This window comes from Homo sapiens, chromosome 6 (assembly GCF_000001405.40).
Source record: "Homo sapiens chromosome 6, GRCh38.p14 Primary Assembly".
In the NCBI taxonomy this organism is placed as follows: domain Eukaryota; kingdom Metazoa; phylum Chordata; class Mammalia; order Primates; family Hominidae; genus Homo; species Homo sapiens.
Window position 1 is genome coordinate 24,849,005 of NC_000006.12, and position 26,486 is coordinate 24,875,490.

The window sequence follows — 26,486 nt, forward strand, 5'->3', positions numbered from 1 at the left end:
AGTGATTCTCTTGCCTTAGCCTCCCGAGTAGCTGGCATTACAGGTGCCTGCCACAATGCCCAGCTAATTTTTGTATTTTTAGTAAAGATGGGGTTTCACCATGTTGGCCAGGCTGGTCTCAAACTCCTGACCTCAGCTGATCCACCTGCCTTGGCCTCCCAAAGTGCTGGGATTACAGGTGTGAGCCACCGCACCTGGAGCTGCTAGTGTTAATAACTTATCATGACCTTTCTCACCGGGTGAATTTGGAAAACGATTTCTAAGTTCATTGCTTTGAAAAAAGATATCTCTTGCCCTTTGGGGATATTCTATTTCAGTAAATACAGTGCAGAGGAACTAAGGATACTCATAATTTTCCAGAGCAGTGTGAAGTTATGCGATAAAGAGGAATAAGCATCCGTGAGAATCAGGATTTTTCTGAGGTCAAAGTACCGCCTATTGGACAGATATTTTCTTTCAAATTAGTTTACTTGAGAGGACATATGCCCTTATATATTTAAAGGTAGAGAGGGAAGGAAGGTGACAGAAAAAATATTTTAAAATAGGAAGTAGAAGAGGAGATTGGTGACATGACCCAGGCTTCTCCAACTTTAACACGCGTGCACCTTACCCGGGGAGTTTGTTAAACAGATTCTGGGGCCTGAGCAATTCTGACACAGTAGTCCTGGGGTGGGGCCCGAGATTCTGCTTTTCATAACAAGCTCCCTGGTGATGCGGATGGTCCATGCACCAGCTTTGAGTAGCACTAGCCGGTATCAGATATTTCTATATGATGAAATAAAGGAAGAGGCACTTACTACCAGGTGATTTCCAGGTTCAGTTTGATGGTACCAAGGTCATTGATGTCGACAGCCACTACCTGAGGTCGGGCTGCAAACAGCTCTTTGGTCTCACAGGTCACGCTACCTACCAGGATGTGAGTTGCTAGCCCTTTGAGCTCCGTGACCTAGCAGAGAGAGTGGGAGAGAATAGGCCTTACATCACAGCAGAGGAGAAAGGTAGAATAATGTGTCATTTTTTTTACTGAGCTAGGTTGGTCATTTCTTTCAGAATCATATCTGAAATCAGAAGCGGATTTTCATTTTTCTTTTTCTTTTTTTTTTTTTTTTGGAGACAGGGTCTCTCTCTGTCACCCAGGCTATAGTGCAGTAGTGTGATCATGGCTAATTGCAGCCTTGACCTCCTGGGCTCAAGTGATCCTCCCACCTCAGACTCCCAAGTAGCTGGGACTACAGGCACACGGACCACGTCTGGCTAATTTTTGTACTTTTGTAGAGACGGCGTTTTGCCATGTTGGCCAGGCTGGTCTCGACCTCCTGGGCTCAAGTGATCCACCCACCTCAGCCTCCCAAAGTGCTGGGATTACAGGCGTGAGCCACTACACTACGCCTGGCCAGAGGTGGATATTTCAAAAGTGTATCTTAGATTGACTTTACTTACTCTGATGAGAGGGCAGCTGTCTTTGTAATAGACTTGTGCAGAAAAGTCTGTGGGATGGAGGGGCAACAGGCAGGGGTCACGGGTAAGGGCCCCACCAATGGATCATCCAGCCGTGGCACCAGGAAAGACAACAGGCAATGACAATACTGTACCTTGATGGAGATGAACCCAACTATCAGGGGCAGAAAAACTGTTTCTTCTCCATCCCAGCTCTGCTTGCCATTTACTTCTATTTTGCCTTTCAGTTTCCACCGCTGCCGGCCATACTTCATGAAAATCTGGAGAGGAGACATCCAAGGGCCTTCATGTCTTGCCACCCCCTCTTCTCCACCAGAACACCAAGATCAAAAGGAGAAAGACCTAAAGCCACTGCTGCCCTCCGCTTCTCCCTTACTCTCCCTCCACCCCCTTACTCTTGGGTGTGAATGGAGCTGGGGATGAGTGGGGAGGAGACTTTTTTTTTTTTTTTGAGTTGGAGTCTCGCTCTGTCACTCAGGCTGGAGTGCAATGGTGTGATCTTGGCTCGCTGCAACCTCCGCCTCCAGGGTTCAAGCGATTCCCCTGCCTCAGCCTCCCAAGTAGCTGGGACTACAGGCATGTGCCACCATGCCCGGCTAATTTCTGTATTTTTAGTAAGACGGGGTTTCACCATGTTGGCTAGGCTGGTCTCAAACTCCTGACCTCAGGTCATCTGCCCGCCTCAGCCTCCCAAAGTGCTAGGATTACAGACATAAGCCACTGTGCCTGGCCCGAGACTTTTAAAGCACAGTAAGTTCTGCCTGCCTGAGACAGGGAGGGTACAGGTTTTCTGTAGTAAAAGGTCATTGCACTGTGCCCTTCTGCTCACTCATGCCAAGCAGTTCTCTCTCTTGTTAGTTCTACTTCAATAGAGCAGCCACACAACCCAGCTCCTTTAGTGAGATGAGGAAGTATCAGCTAAAACCCCCTTAGCAGTCAGAAGCAAGAAATAAAGACATCCTTACTCTGGATAGAGAGATGGAGCTGGCAAGGACTTTGAAATCCAACATACTCTTGGGGGAAGGTGTGCAATATCTCCTTGGTCAGACTGCTTTAATGTTTAAGGGAAGATACACCCTCACCCCCTGCTAAGAGGTATGAGTATAGAGGGTTTTGGAGGAGATGTTAGATGAAATGGTTATATAAGTTTCCTTTTGAAGAGGGAAAATAACAAAGGCTATTTTTACTTTTTGGAGCACATTTTTACAAAGAAAGATCTGGATGTTATTTTTCTTCAGTCATGGTACTTATGATCAGCCATGATCCTGGATTGGCCCTTGGATCAGGAAAAAAAAAAAAAAACCTGCTTACCTAGTACAATATTGGGACACCTGGCAAAATATGAACATAGACTAATTCCAGGTGACGTTAGCTGAAGAGCCAGTGTTATAAACTCACTGGTGTTGAGGGCTTAGTAATGCCTATGTGACAGAATGTCTTTCCATTCTTAGAAGAATTTAGGGATGAAGAGTCCTGGTGTTTGCATCTTGCTCTAAAATGGTTCAGGGGCTGGATGTGGTGGCTCACACCTGTAATCCCAGCACTTTGGGAGGCCGAAGGGTGGGCGGGGGGGAATCACTTGAGGTCAGGAGTTCAAGACCAGCCTGGCCAACATGGTGAAACCCCATCTCTACTAAAAATACAAAAAAATTAGCCGGCTGTGGTGGTGCACACCTGTAGTCCCAGCTACTCCAGAGGCCGAGGCAGGAGAATCGCTTGAATCCAGGTGGCAGAGGTTGCAGTGAGCTGAGATCATGCCACTGCACTCCAGCCTGGGCAACAGAGCGAGACTCCATCTCAAAATAAAAAATAAATAAGTAAGTAAATAAATAAATAAATAAAATGGTTCAGCAAAATAATAGTAACAATGACAGCAATAATGATGATGATGACAGAGCAAATGTGGCATAATGTTACAAAGTGGTGAATCTAGATGAAAGGTTTATGGGAAGTCCTGTACCAGTTTCCAGACTTTCTCATTGGCTTAAAATGTTTTTCAAAATTAAAAATTAAAAAAAAAAAAGACAACTTGAAAAGCAAAATAATGACATGACAACTGGCCCCTACCCTTCAGGTCCATAATTCCAGCACCTAGACCAAGACAATACTTACTTCATATTGATCTCCAGGACAGAGGCGTGCAAAGCCAGCCAGACCTGTAACCAAGAAATTGGAAGGTGAGGTGTAGAACATATTTCCCCTCTCTATAGACACATACTGGCACGTTAAAAAGAATTCAAGTGAAGTGTCAGAACTTTGTGCAAACTCACATAACACTTTTTGGGGCCATTCCTGGGGAACAGCTGTTTTTGGGGGAGTTCCTTCTATCACAGGTAAAGAAGACATTCCTGGATGAAGTGATGGAAGAGGTGGTCTCCAAGGCAGGGGAGGCTGGGCAAGGAGGGGAGCTAGAGCTCAGAATATCTTGGGCTGATTTAAGATCCAAGTGGATTCTAGGGTTAGGGTATTAGGGCCAGAAAGATAGATTTATTTATTTATCCAACATATTCCCATGAAGATAATCTGGTCTCCTATTTTTCTTTCTGTCCTAAAATGTGTGATTTTTAAGTGCCTCCCATTTGAGTTAAGATTCCATGCAGTTATTTCCCTTGCTGCCCCCCAATTTACTCATTCTGATGTTTTCTTTATCCTTTTTATCTGGTGTAATGATACAATTTGCTGTTATAAAATCCCTGAAAATGGATTATTACTTACATAAAGCTAGTGATTAAGAAAACAAAATCAATCCAACCAACCAAATGATACACCCCCAAAAGAAAGACGGGACTTTTCTTCTACTGTGCCATCCAGCAAGTCATGTCTAACTGGATCTGCTCGATTCGAGATCTCTCTCTGGTGCAGCAGCAAAAACAAATCTTATCAGACTAGATGGCCACCATCCGAGGCCATCTCAGGAACTCTGGGTTTGTCCAGTCTTTTTCTTTCTTTTTGTAGATATTTACTGAGAGCCGGCTATATGTAAGGGTCTAAGCTAGGCATCGGGGTAATAATTTGGAAATTAAAGATTTTATGGATACCCATGATATAGAACAAAATACAGTTAAAGCCCACAGAAATGAAACAGACAAGGACTTGAAGGCAGTAAGATGGAGTTACACCTGAGGTTAATTTGTTTGTCTACTGGCTATCCTACTCTAGAAAATTTACTTAACCCAAGTTTCTTCACCTTTAAAATAGGGTAACAGTGTCCACTTCATAGAATTGTTTGTAAGGACAATGGACGGCATCTAACACATAGTAGGTCGTTAATACATGGTAATGACAATATATCCAAGAGTGGGATAATACTATTTATTGAGTACATGCCATCCACTATTTAATGAAAGACGTAATCTATATGAAAAGACACAAGGCTGGCATGGTGGCTCACGCCTATAATCCTAGCACTTTGGGAGGCCAAGGCAGGAGGATGACTTGAGCTCAGGAGTTCAAGACAAGCCTGGGCAACATAGTGAGACCTCATCTCTACTAAAAAGAAAAAAAAAAATTAGCCAAGTGTGGTGGTGCATGCCTGTAGTCCCAGCTGCTCAGAGGCTGAGGTGGGAGGATCGCTTGAGCCCAGGAGGTCTAGGCTATAGTGAACCGTGATTACACCACTGCACTCCAGCCTGGGTAACAGAGTGAGACTATGTCTGAAAAAGAAAAAAAAAAAAAAAAGAAAGAAAACACACAGTAAATTGATATGCATCAGGGAGGCAAACAGCAGTGGAGAGACAGAAGGAGATCTTTGCTTTTTTCTGTATTTTTATGAGAATGTATTACTATATAATTAAAATGAAAAAAGAGAGACTATCTTATTTAATGTAGAATAGTTTCATGGAGGAAAGTAGCATTTGAATAACAGAGTTTCACCACAGTAAAATGAAGACATGGGTGTACAGATACTTCCAGGCTGAGTGAATGGCATGTGTGCATTCGACAATGTTTCTTGGATGTCTACTGTGTCAAGCATGAATAAACGTGTGGGGACGAAGGCATGCTAGTCACATGTGCATAGCAAATGAGGAAACTAATCTCATCAACAGAGGCTTGTCAGTGACCCAGCTTTACTTTAATCAGTTGTTTCTGGCTTTAGTCAGCTGTTGTTTTCCTGCCAATCACAAAGCAAAGCACTTTACATTCCTTGGGGCCTAAAGACTAAAAGTTTTATTGAAGGAACCAAAATAATTTCATAAAAATAGGTAAAAATCTTCATCCTTTAAAAATTTTTTGAAGGAAAAAAAATAAAGTTTTATGAGATTTCCAGTTAAGAATTCAGTACAGGCTGGACGTGGTGGCTCACACCTGTAATCCCAGCACTTTAGGAGGCTGAGGTGGGCAGATCACCTGAGGTCAGGAGTTCCAGGCCATCCTGGCCAACATGGTGAAACCCTATCTCTACTAAAAATACAAAATTAGCCGGGTGTGGTGTCGGGTACCTGTAATCCCAGCTACTCGGGAGGCTGAGGCAGGAGAATCGCTTGAACCTGGGAGGCGGGGGTTGCAGTGAGCCGAGATCATGCCACTGCACTTTAGCCTGGCAACAGTGAAACTCCGTCTCAAAAAAAAAAAAAAAAAAAAAAGGAAGGACACAAAACCTTACATAGAGTATAACCTCAGCCATATATAAATGGATCCCCAGGGAAAAAAGTCTAGAAAACCATACCAAACTGTTAAAAATAATTATCTCTGGTAGGGTAGAATTAAGGAGAAAATTAAATTTTTGTCAATAAGTGGTAATTTTTATTTGATTTATAAAAAGATGATATACTTATTTTGTAATACAGAAAAAAGATGTAAAAAAGATCACATACCTTGGCAGGGAGTGTGTATACACAGAAAAGTTGGTTGGATATTTTAATAATTTTAACAAAACTTAGCACTGGGTGGAATGATTATATATGACTTTATTTTTTTTTTGTTATATTTCTCAATGTTTTAAAAAAAGAAGTTACTACTTTCAAAGTGTTTAAATAGAGATTGAAGAAGACACGAACAATTCCTCCCTGTTTACCCAGTAATTTTTTAGAGGCACTCCGAGGAAATAATTTTGATGAGCTGGTCCAGAAACAGCTGTTAGTCCTAGGCTGTTCCCACACAAAGACATCCATATGACAAATGGGTCCCTTGGTACTTCAGCCTCCTTGAGTTGCTATTTATAACCTTTGTGCTCTGGGTTGCTTTTATATTTATTTAAACGTGATTTTACCCATATAAAGATGCTGTGGATGGTATCACACAATGTGTTTTGCCTTCTACAAATAGCCCTGTTAGTACGCTGGAGACTCTTGGCCAGGCATGGTGGCTCACACCTGTGATCCTGTGCTCTGGGAGGCCAAGGCAGTAGGATCACTTGAGCCCAGGAGTTTGAGACCAACCTGGGCAACACAGTGAGACCCTATCTCTACGAAAAATTTAAAAATTAGCCAGTCATGGTGGCGTGCGCCCGTGGTCCCAGTTACTCAGGAGGTTGAGGCAGGAGGATTGCTTGAGGTTAGGAGTTTCAGGCGGCCGTGAGCCACTGAACTCCAGCCTGTGTGACAGAGCGAGACCCTCGACTCAAAAAACAAAACAAAGCAAAAAACCCAGTAAGTTGAGAGTCTTAAATGAACGCTTCTACTTTCACCTGACTTATAAACGTTGCGTGGGTAAGCTGACAGCAAAAAAGGTCCCCGGATGCTTAAAAAAGAAGCATGTGCTGTTACCATCACTTGTCAGTAGGTGGCAGAAACTCACCAGCTCGTCCGTGCCTTCCTGCCCGTGGAGCCAGCACATTTAAAAACAGCTTTCAATAATAATTAGAACACAACAACCCACTTAAAAAGACTTACTGAAATAAGAGCAGAATTAAAGAAGCCTGCATTCTACTAATAATTTTCTGCAGCATTTAGTTAGTCTTTAAAAAAAATACTTCTGAAAGAAAGTATAATCGACTTGTTTTTGTAAATCCTAAACTGGACATGCTAATTCTAATAAAATCCAAAGTGCTCTTTAAAAACCTCTGCAAATTGGTCAGGCACGGTGGCTCACACCTGTAATCCCAGTACTTTGGGAGGCCGAGGTGGGCGGATCACCTGAGGTCAGGAGTTCGTGACCAGCCTGGCTAACATGGAGAAACTCTGTCTCTACTAAAAATACAAAAATTAGCCGGGTGCGATGGTGGGCATCTGTAATCCCAGCTACTCCGGAGGCTGAGGCATGAGAATCGCTTGAACCCAGGAGGCGGAGGTTGCAGTGAACAGAGATAGTGCCACTGCACTGCAGCCTGGGTGACACAGCGAAACTCTGTCTCAAAAACAAAACAAAACCTCTGCAAATTAGTTCAGGATTAATCTATTGCCTGTTTATGTAATTACAATGGAAGACTGGTTGAAAAGAAACTGATCTGACATTGTTACTAGATAAAGGTGAATAAAGGGGAAATCCTTTGAAGGTGTTTTTCCCCCCCCTTTAAAATTACCAGAAATTTTATATCTGAAGAAAACAATGTGAGAAAGGTACTTGGTAGTGATGTTTTTTTCACTTCTCAGCCCATGTTACTAAGCAAAATTTCTTGGAACTGCTGTAGTGGCATCACTGATCCTCTGATTGTAGCAATAATGTAGCACAATGGCACTATCCAGGCACAAACAGCTTTTGTGCCGTGCTTCTTAAAGTTCTATCTGCTGTGTAAGCCACTGGTGGTACTGGCCACGGAATTAGCACTAACAGTGGGGCAATGACAGTTACAGTCTGTCTTTGAGGCCTGGCCAGGTTTCTTACAGGCTCTTGTCTGGGGGCCTGCTGGCATTTTCACAGTTGGAGAAAGCTGCAAGTGTTCTTGACAGTTTGTGATTACCAGTGCATGATCTAGAAAGCTTAATGAAAGCTTTCTAGCTTTCACTCAAAAAACCATCATGGGGGTTACCTCTGAGGATGCGCACTGGGGGCTTGCAGGGGTCATACCTTTGGATGTTTCACGGCGCTCACATATTACTGATCTAACACCTCCTCCACAGCCTCGTTTGGAGGGTGTTACAGCAGCTGCCTACTCTTGCCTGCCTTCCTTTGCTCAGACACCATTCTGCCAGAAGAACGCTCTACATCATTTTTCCCAGTTCTATGATGATCTTTCCTTCCAAGAGTCACACTTCCTACTTTAAGACAACCAAGTAGCTATACAGTCAGGAGCTCCTATTACAGGTGTTACTGATCTATTGACCAGGCATAAATAATGCAAGTTTACTAGCTCAATGGTGGTTCTTCCTTCTGAGGAAGGTTGACCTGCCCTGGAAACTGTAAGGACCAGGATATATGCACTGCCTGGAACTTAATTTGAACAAAGTAATAATTTGGAGAACTAGTTTGCTCTAAGGAACTACATCCCTTTACCTCCATCCTGTTTGATAGTTTGCAGATTAAGTGCTCTCCGTTTAGCCTGGCATTCATGGATTTTTATAGTCAGGACCCAACTAATTCTCCATAGCTCTTCTCCGAACAATCACGTCAGCCACACCGGTCTACTTGTCACCTCTGAACAGGCTTTCCTCTGTTTGGTGAATGCTATTCTGGTGCTGTTCACCATACATTACACTGGGATGCCTTCCTCTTTCCTGCTCCTCTCCCCAACTAGAGAGGTGAGTGGCAACCTTTTCCTCCTCTCCCCTCCTGCTTTTGCAGCAAACTGGGTCACACTGTTGTTCAGGTGGTCATTTGTTCCATTGAATGAGAATGCACAGCCTCATATGTCTGTTTTCTCTGGTAGACCATGTGGAACTCAAGGCCAGGGAGCAGTCATCAGAATGCAGTCAAGTGCCTGGCCAATAGCAGGCACTCAGTAAGTACTTGCTCTATTATCTTTAATGTCACTACCCCAAAAGGTTGTTTTCTAGTGTTGGGGTTGGGGCAAAAAGGGAAGTGAGGAAGGGTGTGGCACGAGGAAGTTAGTGGTTGCCAGGTCTGAGAGTATTGTGAAATAGTCTGTTTGTCAATATGTATGTTGGAAGTAGTTTTTACCAGAATGAGTAACAGATGAGAAAGCAGCTAATTGCAAAGACAATAGGATTTCTTGGCAGCATGAGGTTTCCCTTTCTCTTTATGGAGGAAGAGAAAGATTTCCATGGGGGTGTTTACCATTGAAAGCCTTCACAGATGTAGTTTCTGAGTTTGCCTGTTAGATGAGGAAAGTGGAGGAGACAGGAGTCTATCAATGAGGAAGGAGATTTAGTCTCAGGCCTGAGAAACCCCATGGAAGAAACCAAGCGTTCAGGTGGACTCTCAGGAACATCAGGCAGGAGAGCAAGAACAACAGAGAGAGGAGGAGATGGAGGAGCAGGAGCAACAGCAAGTTCATCAGTCCATCAGGGCTGCGATGTAGCGGGGTGGCCAGGTCCCCCAGTAGGTGGCAGGGACTCCAGCATCATCTCCTCCCTGAACACCAAGCCTGAAGCTCCAGATCTGGTCCGAGGGTGGTCCCTTTCCTCCCCATCCCACTCCTAGGGTGTCTCTGTGCTAGGTTGGAGAGGATCTGCCCGTGAGGGAGACCATTCTTTGAGCAATGGTTTATATTGTCTGCTCAGCTCTGAACTTCCCTCATAACATGGAGTTAGAGGTGGGAATGCATTAGGAACAAAGAACCCTGGAATTCAGTTTCTTGTCTGACTCCAATTTAAGTGTGACTCCTGGGACAAGTCATTTAGCCTCTCTAGGCCCCTATTTCCCATCTGTAAAATCAGGAAATTACCATCCCACCAAAAATAGATGCACTTGATAATACTGAGCATCAGAAATAGGAGAAATATAGTACTTTTTTATATTAGCAGTGATAGGTGATGTGCATGATTTGAATTACTGTTAGGCTGCGAGACTCTGCGACTGTGCTAGTCTGTGTGGGTGGCGTCTGAGAGTTGGGGGAAGTAGAGGGAAGGTTTTCTGCTAAACACTGATTCAGGGCAGTTATTTTCCAGAATTGATCAGGCTGCTGATAGAATCATCCTCAAAGTTAAAATAAAAATTCCAGGGCCCACGTGGGACTATGGACCTGCGTGATTTTGGAACCACTGACTCAAGTGAGGACCCAAAAATGTAGAGAATGGACCTAAAAAATGGAAAAAAGCACAGATGCCAGACTCAGTAGCAAAGCAAGTGTTGAAACTTAACACTGAATACTAAACTGATTCCCTACCGGATCTGCCGGAAGAGAAGCATGCAGCCATTTGGGAAGCTGAGGGTCAAGGTCATTTATATTCCAGGTATTCTCAGACAGGCTCTTACATGTCAGTGCCTAGTGCTTGACAGAATAATTTCCCTCCTGAGTTAGATGATTCATTGGAAAATGAAGCCCTCCTGTCGAGCCCTTTCAAAAAAAAGTCTCCTTTCTTTACTCCCTTAATTGCAGAAAGTAGAAAGAAGGTGATTAAATCCCCATTAGCAACCCAGGGATCAAGCTGCTAAGAAACCTCAGAATTGCATAAGCACCAGCCCTCTTCACTGCAGTCAGATGGGCCAAAACTTGGAAGAGAAATTGACTTGCTGTGATGGCCGCTCATTTGACAGCCATGCCTGGCCACTGAGCCGTAAATCTGACAACACCTGAGCAATGCTCTATTTTCTAAAACCAGACTTCGTTTTTGTTCTGAAGATGCTGTGGTTTAACTCAATAATGTGTCTAGTTTGGAACTTTCTGGAATAAATACCAGAAAGGCACTGGGAGGGGAAAAATTCTCTGTGGGTTTAACACCAAGATTTACAAAATTTCATAGTTAGTTTGCTAGAAACATGAGGAGCTAAAGGAAGAATTTAAAGATCACCCCAAAGAAGCCAACAGACAAGCTAGAATGTGGGACATTCTGTACAATGGTTTCTACAGCAAGTCAAGGGTAGAAAAAAAGGTAGGGAGAGGTTTGTTTTAGATTAAAGGAAATCTAAAAGATATACCTAACAACCAATTGTAATGCATGGACCTTGTTGGGATCCTAATTTGAACTAATCAAATGTACAAGGCATTTTTGAGACAACGGGGGAAATCTGATAATGGAATGGGTTAATAACCAGGGTTTATTATTTTTGTTAGCTGTGAAAACGTGACAGTACTTGGCATCGTGGTTATGTAAGATGACAGCCCCATGCTTTAAGAGATGCATACTGAAGTGTATAGCAGCAGACTGACATATCTGGGTTTTATTTCATCAAAGGACTTCTCTTTTATCAAAGGAAAAACAAAAGCAAAGAGATGGAGCAAATGTGGCAAAATCTTGCTAATTATTACATCTAGGTGATGGGTTTATGGGGGCTCATTATAATGTTCTCTCCACTTCTGTGTATGTTTGAGATTCTGTCATAATATTTTTGTGTGTGTAGGTAAGCCTCAGGATGAGAAGCATCAGTAAACTATCAAAAGTGGGGTGGGTTGAGAGTGGGTGGCGCTGCGTCTTTGCAAGGAAAATAAAAATAGCATGGGCTCTCAAACTTCAAGGAGCTCTGCACTCTGCAGAGATGGCTCCTTATTCTCTCTAAACAAGGAAAATAATACCTTTCATCTTGATGGAGAATTCTCCCAGCAGATTCTCTAGCTCCACTTCAATGGTGCACATATTCTGCAAAGAGGACAGGAGACGATCATGAGAGCTAGCCTTTCACCCAACAGCTCAAAGCACACGACGTTCGAACAGCAGCACAACCACTGCGTGAACAACGAGAAGCATTTACCTGTTTGCTCCACACAGCACAGCCTAAGAAACATTCTTGACAAAATGTTTGATCTGAGTCTAAGCCCACCTTTTAGTGTACAGGAAATTTAGGGCATAGATGAGCAAGTCAGATTATATCAAAAATAGACACATTCAGAATGTGGGGTAGTCTATAGGAATTAGCATGAATTCTACAAAAAGGCAGTATCATAGGGGAAAAAATTTCTACATAAAGAGACTAGACAAACATAATCACCAAATGTAACAACTTAACCTTGATAATATCCTGATTTGAAAGTAAATAAATCAAAACATTTATAAAAGACATTATTGATCCAAATAGGGAAAACTTGAAAATGGACAATATGTTATATAATTCTATGGGATGATTGTCAATTTTCTTGGTTGTAGTAATGGTATGTGGTTATGTAGGAAATGTAGATATTCCATAGGTTACTATTAAGAGATCCCTGGCTTGATTTAGCCATTGTATTACATATTTCTGTGCATACACACTTCAAAACATCAAGTTGTATACCATAAATATGTAGTTTTTATTTGCCAATTACAAATAAATTTTAAAAAGAGATCCAGGTTAAAATACATATAGGGTGAAATGTCATGATGTCTATCACTTACTGTCAAATGACTTGAGGGGGATTTGATCATATGAGAGAGAGGGAAAGCAAATATGGCCAAATATTACCAATTGGTAAATCTAGATAAAGGCATATGGTGTTCAATGTACAAGTCTTTCAATTTTTCTATAGGTTTGAAATTTTTCTTAAAAATTTGGGGCCAAAAGAGCACAAGGGCTGAATTCTGCTCAAGTGAGTAAGGCAGACTTCCTACTGCAAACCTACAGCGCCCCAAAAATTATTTTTGGGTCTGACAAGGGTCTTCTCTTTGATGTTGAAGGAAAAGGATAGAGAGAAGGAGTAACACCATCTGTGCATGTGGTTAGATACATAACTAGCCTCACCCTACTTCCTCAATACCTGAGGACCTAAATAGAACAATTGCAGTTAGAAATGAAAAGGGAAAGTGCTGCGGCCATGGGCCATCCCCAGGGAGGCCCTTCTGCTGCTTGACCAGCTTACAATCTGGATGCTGCCTCTGCTATGCTAAGCAGCAGTCTCCATTGAAGCTTGATGCAGGGTGATGTCTGCAGGCTTCTCCCTCAGTTGCCAGCCTCCCACAAGGCTAGGGGTTCGAGGGTGGCCTCACTGACAAAAGCATGGCCAGCTTGATTAGTGCAGGCTGGTATTGCTTCCATTTGAATTCTGTATGCTGAGGACCTCAGCCTAGAGGTTCTGATTCTTCTATGTTTCGTTGTTCTGCTCCAAATGATCACTCTCATGGGATGCAAAGAGAATGGCATTGCTTTTTCCCTTGTAAATTCTCACTACCTGAACTAGCTAGCAAGGCTGGGGAAAACTTCCTGAAGTCTGAGCTCTGCGTAGCTTGAAAGCCTTGAAAACAAAGCCTCAGTATTATAAACCAATTTATTTCCTCAGAGTATTGGGCACTTCTGTGAAGAAACAGTTTCCAGACATATCAACTATGCTATCATGCATGTCAGGATTGCTACCAGTATCTCTGAAAAACGTGAGAGCAGCTAGGTTAAGACTTGAGGACATCCATGGTCAAAATTTTCCTCCCCCGACCACTGGCACCCCCCCACCACCCACAGCCACTGATGAACATTGCTGCACACGAAAAAGCACCTGAGCCTACCTTGACCTCATTGTTAAATCCTCATTTTAAACCATCATCATAATAACATGCTGGCTTTTGTGGTTATGTGAGGATGTATTTCTTTCTTGCTTTTTTGTTTTTTTGAGATAGAGTCTCTATCTGTCACCCAGGCTGGAGTGTAGTGGCGCCGTCTCAGCTCACTGCAACCTCTGCCTCCCAGGTTCAAGCGATTCTCCTGCCTCAGCCTCACGAGTAGCTGGGATTACAGGTGCCCGCCACCACGCCCGGCTAATTTTTGTATTTTTAGTAGAGACGGGGTTTTGCTATGTTGGCTGGGCTAGTCTTGAACTCCTGACCTCAAGTGAACCTCCCAACTTGGCCTCCCAAAGTGCTGGGATTACAGGTATAAGCCGCTGCACCCGGCCATGAGGATATAAAACCACCTGATACCAAATGAGGTATGAGGCTACAGAAGTCCTGGACTTCTTTCTTCTCTAAGGCAGTTTAAATTGCACTCTATGTCTTTGAATTTGTGAGCAAGGTCATGATGCCATGCCCTGGCACTTGATCAAGGGTGGCTGTGTCTGAAATGACCTGCAAATATGCCAACAAAGGCAGCCCCTGCATTCTGCTGGTCAGTTATCTGCATTTGTCCTATAAACATCCTTTATAATTGGAAACGGCTCTCCTCATTTCAGAGATCTGTAGAAATGGGGTCTCGTGAACTAGGACTGCTTCTAGGCCAGGAATTTTCAATCTGCAGCTCTACAAAGTAGGATGGGGGAGGGTGGGAAGAGTCAGATCTTTATTTTCACTATCATTTAACTGAAATTAAACATGTTTAGGTATGATGAAGGTAGAAAACAAGCCACAGCAGTATTAGCCATACCTGTGACTTTGACACTGATAGAAATCACATATATGTTCATGTCACATTATTTATTGCAGATAACTTTTTAAAAAATCATTTATACTTTTCATTACTTTGATGTTTCAGTAGTTATTAGAGCCACTACTAGATCTTATAATTTGATGTGTTAATAAAGCAGCAGCATAGAACTATGTCACATATTTGACTTTTGAAATATTTTGAAAACTATACTGATGATTTTGAAATAACTGTATTTCAATATATTTTCTTCTTTTCAATTCCTATGTATTTTATTTTATGCATTTAAAAAACATTATTCTAGGCCGGGCTCAGTGGCTCATGCCTGTAATCCCAGCACTTTGGGAGGCAGAGGCGAGTGGATCACCTGAGATCAGGAGTTCGAGACCAGCCTGGCCAACGTATAGTAAAACTCCGTCTCTACTAAAAATACAAAAATTAGCCGGGTGTGGTGGCACACACCTGTAGTCCCAGCTACTTGGGAAGCTGAGGCAGGAGAGGTACTTGGGAAGCTGAGGCAGGAGAATCACTTGAACCCGGGAGGCAGAGATTGCAGTGAGCCAAGATCGCGCCACTGCACTCCAGCCTGTGTGACAGAGCAAGACTCTATCTCTCAAAAAATAATAAAAAAATTATTCTAAAGGAGGAACTTAGGTAAAGAAGCCCTGCTTTAAGTCAAATAAAGAGAGAAACTTGGTTTAGACAAGAGGCAACACGGGAGTGTACACACAAAGGGATCCTACTGACAGTCATCCAAGCTGTCCTTCTGATCCCAGGGCTGAACCAGATGCTCAGCTCTGGGAATTGTCCAACAGACCCTCTACAGGCTGATGACTTCATTCATGAAATCTGATCTCTGAACAAAGACTCATGGGATAGTGAGGAGTGCTGCTTTAATAATTTAGTCATTTCATCAAAGACATTGGTATTAGGTGACCCCAGGAGGAGTGAAGACCTCTCTATGTCAGATGCTTGGGCCCCAGAGAGTTGGAAACCAGGAAAGCACACTTCTGTTCATGGTTCTTAATCTTGGCTCCTTTATGATAAAAATTTCTCACAATTAAAAAAAACATTGTAGGCAGAGGGTTACTGATCCAACACTGACATCCAGTGTAGCTATCTGAACCATAGGGTCTGCTCCACTTCCAGGGATAAAACTAGGCTCGATTTACACTAGAATATTTAGAAGTGTGTTTAAATGACACAAATCAGGGCAATGTGGTTTACGCATTCATTTTATTTTATTTTAGAGATGTGGCCTCGCTCTGTCACCCAGGCTGGAGTGCAGTGGCGCGATCGTAGCTCACCGCAGCCTTGAACTCCTGGGCTCAAGCAATGCTCTTGCCTCAGCCTCTTGAATAACTAGGACTACAGGCACATGCCGCCACTCCCAGCTTATTCATTCATTTTAAGCAATTCTACCGATTGCCTTTCTTGCATACTTTTTAGGCTAACAGTAAAACCTATCTTTCTAGAGGGTGGAATGAGGTTGTGGGTTGCTGTTTGCCTTGTTCTTGGCAATTACCAACAATTCACACCAGGCCAGATGGGATTCGGCAACTTAAGCAGGTTAGGGAGTTATACCTCTGTGTACTCCTTGAAGCTCCGATTGATCTCTGTCAGACTCTCCCGGGCAGCTTTGCTGGCAGGGGATGTTGCGAAGGCTTGCTTCATTTTGCTGGCACCATCCTGGAGGCGTCGCTGGATACAATAAGCTTCATAGAGTTCATCTACCTGCCAGAATCAAAACAGGAAACAGAAATAAATGTCAGGCTTGAAAGAAAATACATAGATCATTGTTACATGCTTAATTTACTTTATATTTCTGACCTCTACAAAGAGAATCCTGTAGAAGTATTATCCTTTTAGATAGGGACCAATCGTTTTTATTGTAGCCACTGTGATACATTTTGTCTCAAAACAGATTTTGCTCTAATCCTGTTTTCAAATTATGCAAAAGGGAAGTGCCTCTCTTGCATTGTTTGAGGCTATCATTGGAATTGTTTAAAATGACTCCCAGGTGACTTTGTGGGTTCATGGGTGGACTGTAAGTATTAAATAAGAAAGATGAGAGCTTTCTGTAAGTATTAAATAAGTATTAAACAAATAAGTATTAAATAATAAAAATAATTAAGTATTAAATAAGACTGTAACTATTAAATAAGGAAGATGAGAGCCTTCTGTATATAGAACAAACACTGAAAGGGTTTGTACAATTTCATACCAAGGTGAAAACTTTGTAGTATCCTAGGCTAATATCACTTTAAGAGGTAGTGTCACAATATTAGGATTTGTAATCCTGATATTTACACATCCAGATTTAGTATTTCATAAAGTAACTTGGGGATATATATTGAAGATAACTTTTGTAAAGTCTTGGCTCAACTGTAAAGGAAAAAGTTATTCTTAAAATTAGGGTAAAACACAATTATCTAAATATATCAAACTGAACACTTAAGAACTCAACTCTTTTTCGTGTAAATTATGTGACAATTACAAAAAAATAAATTGAAGCAATATAAATGAACTTTTCTTTTGCTACACATCTACACTTATGCTTCTAAATAATAACAATATACCCTTTTCAAATGACTATTGATTTTATACTCATATAAGCCTGATAATCAGCTAATTCTTCTAAGGCAGTGATTCTCAATCAACCCAAGGCAATTTTGACCCCCAGGGGTCTACTGGCATCTAGTGGGTAGAGGCCAGGCATGCTGCTAAACATCCTATAATGCAGAGGACAGCTTCCTGCAATAGAGAATTATCCCCAAATGCCAGTAGTGCTAGGGTTGAAAATTTTTTTTTTTTTTTTTTTGAGATGAGGTCTTGCTATGTTGCTCAGGCTGGTCTCTAACTGCTGGGCTCAAGTGATCCTCTTAACCTCCCAAGTAGCTGAGACTACAGGTGCACATCATTGTGCTTAGCTAAAAAAAAAACCTGTTCTAAAGTTATTCCTAATGATATTTATCTCTATAAGTCTGGTACTATCTTTAACTGACTGCAGTTAACTACAAGAATTTTCAGGCGGATAACAAACAACAATACCATCAGGCATTGTCAAAAGCAAATAAAACCTGTTGCTTTGGGGAGGCATACTTACCTAGCACTATTTGAATTTTCATTTCAGTATGAACTTTGTTTCTTCAAAAAGGAAGCTTAACTATAGATCCAGAAGAAGGTGGAGATGCATATACTAGATTTCAGAGTTTAAGAGTCCCGTTTTGTTCTGAAGGCAAACTTTTGGCTGCTCACTAAAAAGCATTACTATAACCTGTTTGAGGATTACAATTTTCCATAATTGCATTCTCTACACAGATATCAATGACACTTAGTTTAGAATGCAAACATGAAGAGACTAAAAATTATTCTCTTGATTAAAGGATTCTTTGTTGCTATTTACTTCAACAATGCACTCAACTCTGCTGAGAAGAATGCCCAAACTGAAAAGAATCATCTTTAATCTTCAGGGTCAGTGGATTTATCTTTGATTAAGAGGGAGATATAAGACTCAAGGAGTGTCCTATCTGCTGATGACATCTTTTGGTTGATGGTTGGCATAGAGTGTGGTTTCCGTGCTTTAAAGCTAAGCCTCATCTGGTGAGCTTGGTAAAATGCTGATGCCCAGGCCCCACTCTGAGATGCTGATTCAGTAGGTTAGGGCTGGGCCAGGAATCTGAAATTTTAAATAAACATTGCAAATTGTTCTGATGTGGGAGATCCCCACAAAACTTTTAGAAACCCAAGTGCTAATATCTCTTCCAATGCAGGTCAGGCTATGTCACCCATGTGGTCTTCTGGGGAACTGCCCTTGCAACCCTTTCCCCTACTAGTGGGTACGCCAAAGTTTCTGAGCTTGTTATCCTTTCAATAAGGAGACAGTGCCCACAGGACCATCGGTATAGCCATAATGACTTAATCTATTACTTTGTGTAGTGAGAAAGTTTATTCTTTGTTTTTGCTTAAATATCAACCTATCCTAGCCAAATGGAATTAAACTTTTGGATAAAGTATACCTAGGTAGTCACCTTAGCAGAAGGCCATTTGTAGGCAAGCATTTATCTTACCTATCAGTCAGCAGTGGCTCATTAAATAAACTGATTAATTGAATCATTCAATTACATATAATTTGTTAGGCGTCTGAATATAAGATATTGCAAACAGAAAGAGTACCACTGACCTTTGAAAACCATTGGGATTGTTGTATCTAACAACCATGGATGCAAGATTGATAAATATACCCTTACCTAATACTGATTGTTTTCTTGCTGTTTTTTGAATTAAACAATAATATGTCAAAGCTTGCCTGCCACATAAATACCTTCTGATGGATGTCATTGTTTTATTTATTGAGTTTAGCAGAAATAGGAGCAATTTCAGATTTGCCTAGGTAGTAAATATCTTTCAAAGCAAGAATGTACGAAGGCAGTAGCATATACATGTATATCCATACATACAAATCATCCTAGAATTTTAAACCAGAAAGGATTCTTAGGATCATGTAGATCAAATCTGTGTACCTCCCCAGCTCCACTTCACAGAGTAGAAAGCCAAGATTCACATAGATGACATAGCAAGTGAGTAGGTGGCAGAGCTGGGAATAGAACCTAGGGCTTCTGACTCTTAGAGAGATCTGCTAAAACTCCCAGGCTCCCCACTTGGAAGAGAGGCTGATAGATATAGACAAACAGGAATTGATAATGGTGTGATTTAGCTGCCTCTAAAGGTAAATATTTTCTAGGTGGCACCAATAACTCCTGATAGTGCCCAGAACAAGGGGGTGATAGTCAGCCTCATTGGACCACCAGTGAACTATGGGGTTCAGGGCTGGGTGTCAGGGACACTGACAAAGTAGTGCACATCTAGGGGAGAGAGGATAAAATGGCACCCGAAAACCATGCCATATGAGGGAGAGTGGAAAGAGCCAAGGGCTTGAGAGAGATTGAGGGAGGCGCTGAGACAGTGGTCTTTTGGTAGTTATAAGGCCTTCATGAAGAAGTTTACGGGGCACCAAGTGTTATGTGGAACCAGAGTGTAAAGTTAGACAAACATGAAGTTTTTTGTAGGGCTAGTTTGATTGATAGTTTATCTCTAAGCACTCTACACTGAGGCTGGAAGTAACTGTGCCTGTTACTTAGCACTTAATAAATGTTTGTGGAACTGAGGTAGAGTCAAAACTGTGCTGGGCCATCAGGCCTTCCATTCTTATTGTTCCTCCATCTTTAGTGCCCACTTGATGACGTAATTGCTAGTCAGCTTAGGAGTCAATTGGATAGGAAGTTCTCCACGCACTAGATACTACGCTCAGCCCAAAGGTGTATTTGATTAGCAACAGAACTGAAAAACAGGCAATGAGAACAGGAATTTCAGTTACCTTACTTATATGAAACTCCAGGCGTCTCATGTATCTTTCAATTGTTTTAATTTGCTGGAATTAAAAGAAGTTTGAAAAAGTACAGTCATTTATAGTTCAATTGACTTAGGCTTGTGAGAATATCTTGATTATATCATACTCAAAAGTATTAGAAAATCCAATATATTTCCCCTTTCCTTCTATCTTTGAAGCTATTTTAGAGATTCTCTAATACCAATTTGGATTTTTTTTTTTTTTTTTTGAGATGAAGTTTCGCTCTTGTTGCCCAGGCTAGAGCACAATGGCACAATCTGAGCTCACTGCAACCTTTGCCTCCTGGGTTCAAGCGATTCTCCTGCCTCAGCCTCCCAAGTAGCTGGGATTACAGGTGCCCGCCACCATGCCTGGCTAATTTTTGTATATTTAGTAGAGACGGGGTTTCTCCATGTTGACCAGGCTGGTCTTGAACTTCTGAGCTCAGGTGATCCACCTGCCTTGGCCTCCCAAAGTGCTGGGATTACAGATATGAGCCACCATGCCCGGCCCTGGAAATTTATTTTTTTAATATTGAATAAATATTTTGAGAAGTGAACTTGAATTAGTTATCGGAATCCTTGTGTTTAACATGAAGAAAGGCCAATCCAATGGAAGTCATTAGATTCTGACAGAACAGTATCATATTGGAGTATATTTAAATTTCTCCATAATAATATATTTTGTCTTCTAAGATTGGTTTTTTTTCCCATTCACATTTTAGTGTCTTTGAAATTGGGGTGCATTTTACAATTGCTACCGGCAGACAGCTGCCTGTACAAGCTCAAAGATAATCATAGTTGTTCATGTGTCATCTCTTTGAGTTGTAATTATTATTATATGCATTTATTTGCCTTTTAAAATGTCTTCAAAAAGAACACACTATGATTCAGCATTGAAATAAAATTATTGTGCACATAGAAAGGCATGGAGCAGCACCGTATATAAATTTTTTTAAAAAGAAAGAGAAAAAAAATCTGTGTCTAAACAGACCTAACAGTTTTCTTGATAACTATAAAATGCAAATTTTAGGTAAAATGAAACAACTGTCAGATTTTAACTGGAATCCTTTTTTTCTCTTCATGGCACATGAAATAATGGTGCATTTTCTAATCAACAATGACTCAGATTTGATGAAGTATAGTAATTTATATTCAGAGACAACACAGGTAAAGGCCTCCAAACGCCTGGGAAGTTCTTAAACTTATAAAAACACTACAACCCAGTGGCATTTTAATGGAAGTGACCTTAAACACTTTATTTAATCTATAGATCACAGTACTTGTTCATTATCCTCATCAGACAAAAGTATGCATTTTTCCAGGATTCAAAAAACTATTAGTTCTCTAGGATTTTACTGTCTCTAAGAGGGTCTCCCATTGACTTCTCAAAGATGCAGAGTTTTGTTTTATTTTTTGAGACAGGGTTTTGCTCTCTCAACCCAGGCTGGAGTGCAGTGGGTGCAATCACGGCTCACTGCTGCCTCGACCTCCTGGCTTCAGGTGATCCTCCCACCTCAGCCTCCTGGGTAGCTGGGACCACAGGCACACACTACCATGCCTGGATAATGTTTTGTATTTCATTTTTTGGTAGAGATGGGATTTTGCCACATTGCCCAGGCAGGTCTCAAACTCCTAAGCTCAAGTGATCCACCCACCTCGGCCTCCCAAAGTGCTGGGATGACAGGCGTGAGCCACCGTGCCCAGCAAGGATGCAGAATTTTTTTCTTATTAGCACCCCAACACGGAATGGCAACTTACCTTGTCTAGGTCATACAGTACACCCTACAATAAAAAAAGGAATATCTGCATTTAAACATTATCCTTCAAAAGGTTACCCATCTTAACAGAATGATTTAGCCCACATTTGCACATTATCTGTGGAAATAATGATCATCCCTACAAAATTCTACTGGATGTTTTACTTTAAAAGAATAAAAACTTGGGTTATTTTGCTTTAAAAGAATAAAAACTTGGGTTATTTTAAATACCAGTAAGAGTACATTTAAGAGCTGACATTTATTTACAGTCTGTTTCTAGCATTGCATGCAGTCCTCCCTGCCCCTTGGGATCTCTAAAGTTTTCACTTGCTTTGAGCTCTCCCGTCCTACCTATTGAAGGGCATGTAAATTCATGGTCATTAAAAAAAATTTAAAATAAATGGTACGAATATAAAACATAGCAGTGGCATATGTGTTAAAAAATACCTGCCTCGCTGTCTAAACAAATAAAATTGATATTTAAGAAGAGTTTTGTTTTGTTTTTGAGACAGAGTTTCGCTCTTTTGCCCAGGCTGGAGTGCAGTGGCACGATCTCGGCTCACCGCAACTTCCTCCTCCCTGGTTCAAGCGATTCTCCTGCCTCAGCCTCCTGAGTAGCTGGGATTACAGGCACCCACCACCACGCCCAGCTAATTTTTGTATTTTTAGTAGAGACAGGGTCTCGCCACGTTGGCCAAGCTGGTCTTGAACTCCTGACCTTGGGTGATCCACCCGCCTCAGCCTCCCAAAGTGCTGGGGATTACAGGTGTGAGCCACCACGCCCGGCCTTAAGAAGAGTTCTTGAGGCTGTGATAAGCTTTTCTCAAATTGTTTTTAAAGCCAGCTCATTTCCTGTGTGCTCATAGTATCATAGTATAATCAGTGCACTATCCTCATATCCTCTAATTGAAGGATTTTTACGGAACATGAGGTCTTGGCAGAAGCCCCTGCATTTGTTCACTGTTGTTTTCCAGGAGAGATATTTGCAGCCACTGAGGATGGTCAAGCGCATTCACCAGCTCTGAAAGCCCTGACACAGGGGTTCCACATAGATGCAGGCAATTTATATCCTAACATCAGTAGAACATAAAAATTTTTAACATTGATAAAGCCTTGAATCTCTAAGCCTTTGAAAAGGACAACAGTATACATTTGAGCACATTTCCTACAAAAGAAAAAGACAGCAGCTATGAATGTCTAGCTGCACCTCCTAGGACTATGTTGAGTTTTCTTGGGCTGATTTCTTGAAACAGTGAGGTATAATATGTAGAGTTGAACAAAATCATTTAAAATAGTGTAGACATTAGAACCACCTCTTCAATCACACAAGTCCTCACAGATTCATGAGAATAGAAGAAATTTGCAACATAATATGTACTTGATCTGGTCTAAGAACTCTTAACTTCTCATGGTGGTTACTCCTTTGAGCCTCTTTTCCCTCCCTGATTTTACTGATTATATTTTTTAAAAATTGGAGTAAAAGTTCTAGATTCCAAATTATTTATATTAATTTTTTATATTTTTTAAAAACACAGACGGGGGGTGGGTCTCACTTTGTTGCTCAGGCTGGTCTCGAACTCCTGGCCTCAAGCGTTCCTCCCGCCTTGGCTTCCCAAAGTGTTGGGATAACAAGCATGAGCTACCGTGCCTGGACCCAAATTCTGTATGTACTAACAATATGCTAGGAAAACTTCAACTTTTCATTTCCTTGTATTATTTAGGAGGGTGGTAGAGGACATTAAAAATTTTTTTCCTGATTATAAAGTTTCATGAAGATATACATTTAAAAAATGATCTCATAAACATGCTTGGAAAATATTGAAAAGTATTAACTAGAATGCATTAAGAAGAAAACATACCCTTCTTTTTCCTTCTAAGACATACTGGGGGATGCAGATAGTACTCTGCCCCTTGGATCTGCTTTTCTCAAACATTCCTCCCCAGCCCCATCCAGTAAAAGAAGCTATTTGGCTAAAAAGAACAGTGTTAACATCATAATGACTGCATAGTACCTACCAGGCGAGAGTTTCTTTTCATATCTTTTAACTGAGCTGTCAACTTGTCCAGCTCCGTCTGGTGAACCTCCAGATATTCACTGCAAAGATAAGACAAGATGTAATCGTAATCTCTGCGCCTGTTAAGTGGAATCTGGTGCTGTTGCTGACTTTTCCTTCTCAAAGGGGATTAAGAATTGAACCTTGCTCTGTAGTTGGGCAGGAGGCTTTGTATTTTCCCAGTCTTTCAACATTTTGAAAGGTCTAGCAGTGGCACTGGATACTATCCAGCTGGGAAAGTAGAAAAGGAGAAAAAAGCTGAAAGTCGAGAAAAGAAAAACCAGTGGGGAGGCAAGGGGCAAGAGGTCTGTAGAGTCAGCCCTGGCTCTGGCCTGACAGAATTCTATCTAGTCAAATAGAACAAATAGTGAATGTCCCATTGCACACTAGGAAAGTCTTATTCTGGGTTCACAATCCCTGTAAGATATCAGGGAGGTTTCAGAACCCTCCTTCAGCAATGTCTAGAATGGATATGTCTGTCCATCATTGTTTAAGTGAAACTCAATACTGCACAGGGTTCCAGGTCTCCATCAATGTTATGAATATGATGTGGAATACCAATATATTTCCCATCTCTGGGACTTATGTCAGGCTTCCCTAATTGTGGTACAAGAATAAAATACCTCCTACAGAAATAGACATCTGAAAAATGATCTCATAAGACCAGCTTTTCTCTGACCCCTTGGGTCTTTCCTTAAAGTACATTATCAGGTTCAAGTTCTTACTCAAGTCCATTTTTCAAGGCCCTGTAGACTTCTTCCACCCTTTTAGGCTGAGGCTCTTTGGGGGGATTGTTGTTTTTGTGGCCTAAATTGTGCATTTTCTTCAGTTTGGCCTGAGGCTTCTTGAGAGCGGAGGAATTTTCAATGAAGGAGTTACACCTATGGAAAGAACAGAAGAAATTGTGAGGATTGGGCATCCAAAAGGATTTGACCAAAGAAAAATGTCTTCTATTATTTACTTGTTTGTTTTAGAGACAAAGTCTTCTTCTGTCATCCAGGCTGGAGTATGGTGGTGTGATCATAGCTCACTGCAGCCTTGAACTCCTGGACTCATGAGCTCAAGTGATCCTCAGCCTCCCAAGTAGCATGTGCCACCACACCCAGCTAAATAGTTTGTTGTTGTTTAAAGAGAGGGGGTCTCAGTTTGGTGCCCAGGGCAAAGTGCAGTGGTCCAATCATAGCTCACTGCAGCCTTGAACTCCTGGGCTCAAGTGGTCCTCCTGCCTCAGCCTCCCGAGGTACTGGGACCACAGGCATGCACCACCACACCTGGCTAATTTTTTTTTTCTTTGTAGAGATAGGGTCTAGCTTCAGGCAATCCTCCTGCTGTGGCCTCTCAAAGTGCTGGGATAATTTTTTAAAACATTTTTTGTAGAGATGGGGTCTTGCTATGTTGCCCAGGCTGGTCTTGATCTCTTGGCTTCAAGCAATCCTCCAGCCTTAGACTCTCAAAGTGCTGGGATTACAGGCATGAGCCACTGTGCCTGACCAAGAAATGTCTTTGTAATCATCTTGTGTTCACACTAGTGTCCTTTGCAGAAGGTAATGTTCCCAGATCTGAGCCATCCTGCATTTAGTTTCTTAGTATTAGATTTGTTAACTGCTGAAACCTGAAAGCTCTGTTGGGCAGAGGCTACCTAGAGTCAAAGTCTGGCTTCAGGGAATGTGTATTCTGAGTGGAAATGTATTGCTTTTCTAAAACATCATAGGAAGCTAAGGGCAAAGAGTTCCAGGTGGACATAATAAACAGGCAGAAGGATATAATCCAACTAAAAAGATACATGCACTATGCAATTTTAGGTACAAGTGTCTATGAAATTCAACGAGGATGTGAATAAATTCTTTTCGATAAGGGACCATAAGCATGACAAATAGCTAATTCTATATGACATTAAAATACACGTAGCTTTTTTAAAAGCTTTATTTTTAGGAAGCAAATTACTGATTAGGTATAACTTATAAAATTTCAACATCTCTAGTAGTGCCAGGGATACAGCTTGCAGCGGTAAGATGGATATCTGATAACTTAAAACCAGAGTACTGATCTAATTAGGAGATGCAGAGGCTAGGCCACTCACTGACCCAGCTATCAGTAGGAAAGCCGAGACCTCCGAGGCCGGAAGGTGCCTACTGCACCCCTCCCAGGTTAGTTATTCGTTATACTCTCTGCCATCACCGTGTGCACAAATGGGACAATACAGGTTAAAGCACATAGGGCCCCTCAGAGGGCAAAGACCTTTATGATAACAGAAAAACTGAAGATAAACTTGGTTACATGTTGCTTATTCACTGTCTGTTCTTTCTTTCTTAAGTTCCCCTAAGTCCTGTTTCAGATGAGAGGAGATTCAGGAAACTAGAAAAACTAACTTTGGCAACCTCTGTCTGAATTACATCTGCTCCCCAGAGTCAATCTGCAGAGGCAGAATCATTATCCACTGCATGATTTCATAGCAAACATAGTCTCCAAAGTCTGAATGCAATGGAAAATGTGCTTCAAAAAGGGGTGGAAGGAGGGGTAGTGAGAGGTCTATGCATATATCACTAGTTTGTCCTAAATCCTCAGCCATCAT

The 26,486-nt window shown here is 41.6% G+C and overlaps 1 protein-coding gene across 16 annotated transcripts in view, besides 2 other annotated features; it reads right to left on the reverse strand.

Moving 5' to 3' along the window:
- The window catches only part of RIPOR2 (RHO family interacting cell polarization regulator 2), a 237,885-nt gene that overhangs the window by 44,721 nt on the left and 166,678 nt on the right, over positions 1 to 26,486 (reverse strand). For all 16 annotated transcript variants that reach the window (XM_006715275.3, XM_011515012.2, NM_001286445.3 and 13 more), the window contains exons 3-11: positions 24,640 to 24,795; positions 23,877 to 23,955; positions 21,862 to 21,885; positions 20,090 to 20,143; positions 16,297 to 16,446; positions 11,969 to 12,032; positions 3,571 to 3,614; positions 1,593 to 1,718; positions 798 to 946 (exon numbers count right to left, since the gene is read on the reverse strand). In XM_006715275.3, coding sequence (XP_006715338.1) covers positions 798 to 946; positions 1,593 to 1,718; positions 3,571 to 3,614; positions 11,969 to 12,032; positions 16,297 to 16,446; positions 20,090 to 20,143; positions 21,862 to 21,885; positions 23,877 to 23,955; positions 24,640 to 24,795 — 846 coding nt within the window. The remainder of the gene's footprint in view (positions 1 to 797; positions 947 to 1,592; positions 1,719 to 3,570; positions 3,615 to 11,968; positions 12,033 to 16,296; positions 16,447 to 20,089; positions 20,144 to 21,861; positions 21,886 to 23,876; positions 23,956 to 24,639; positions 24,796 to 26,486) is intronic.
- Positions 6,997 to 7,291: an enhancer, noted in NCBI's record as "tiled region #11328; HepG2 Activating DNase matched - State 12:CtcfO, and K562 Activating DNase unmatched - State 4:PromP". NCBI's record gives its function as "activates a minimal TATA promoter and a strong SV40 promoter by Sharpr-MPRA in HepG2 and K562 cells {active_cell/tissue: HepG2 | K562}" and the evidence as "EXISTENCE:reporter gene assay evidence [ECO:0000049][PMID:27701403]".
- Positions 13,178 to 13,287: an enhancer, noted in NCBI's record as "active region_24159". NCBI's record gives its function as "activates an Ori minimal core promoter by ATAC-STARR-seq in GM12878 lymphoblastoid cells {active_cell/tissue: GM12878}" and the evidence as "EXISTENCE:reporter gene assay evidence [ECO:0000049][PMID:35858748]".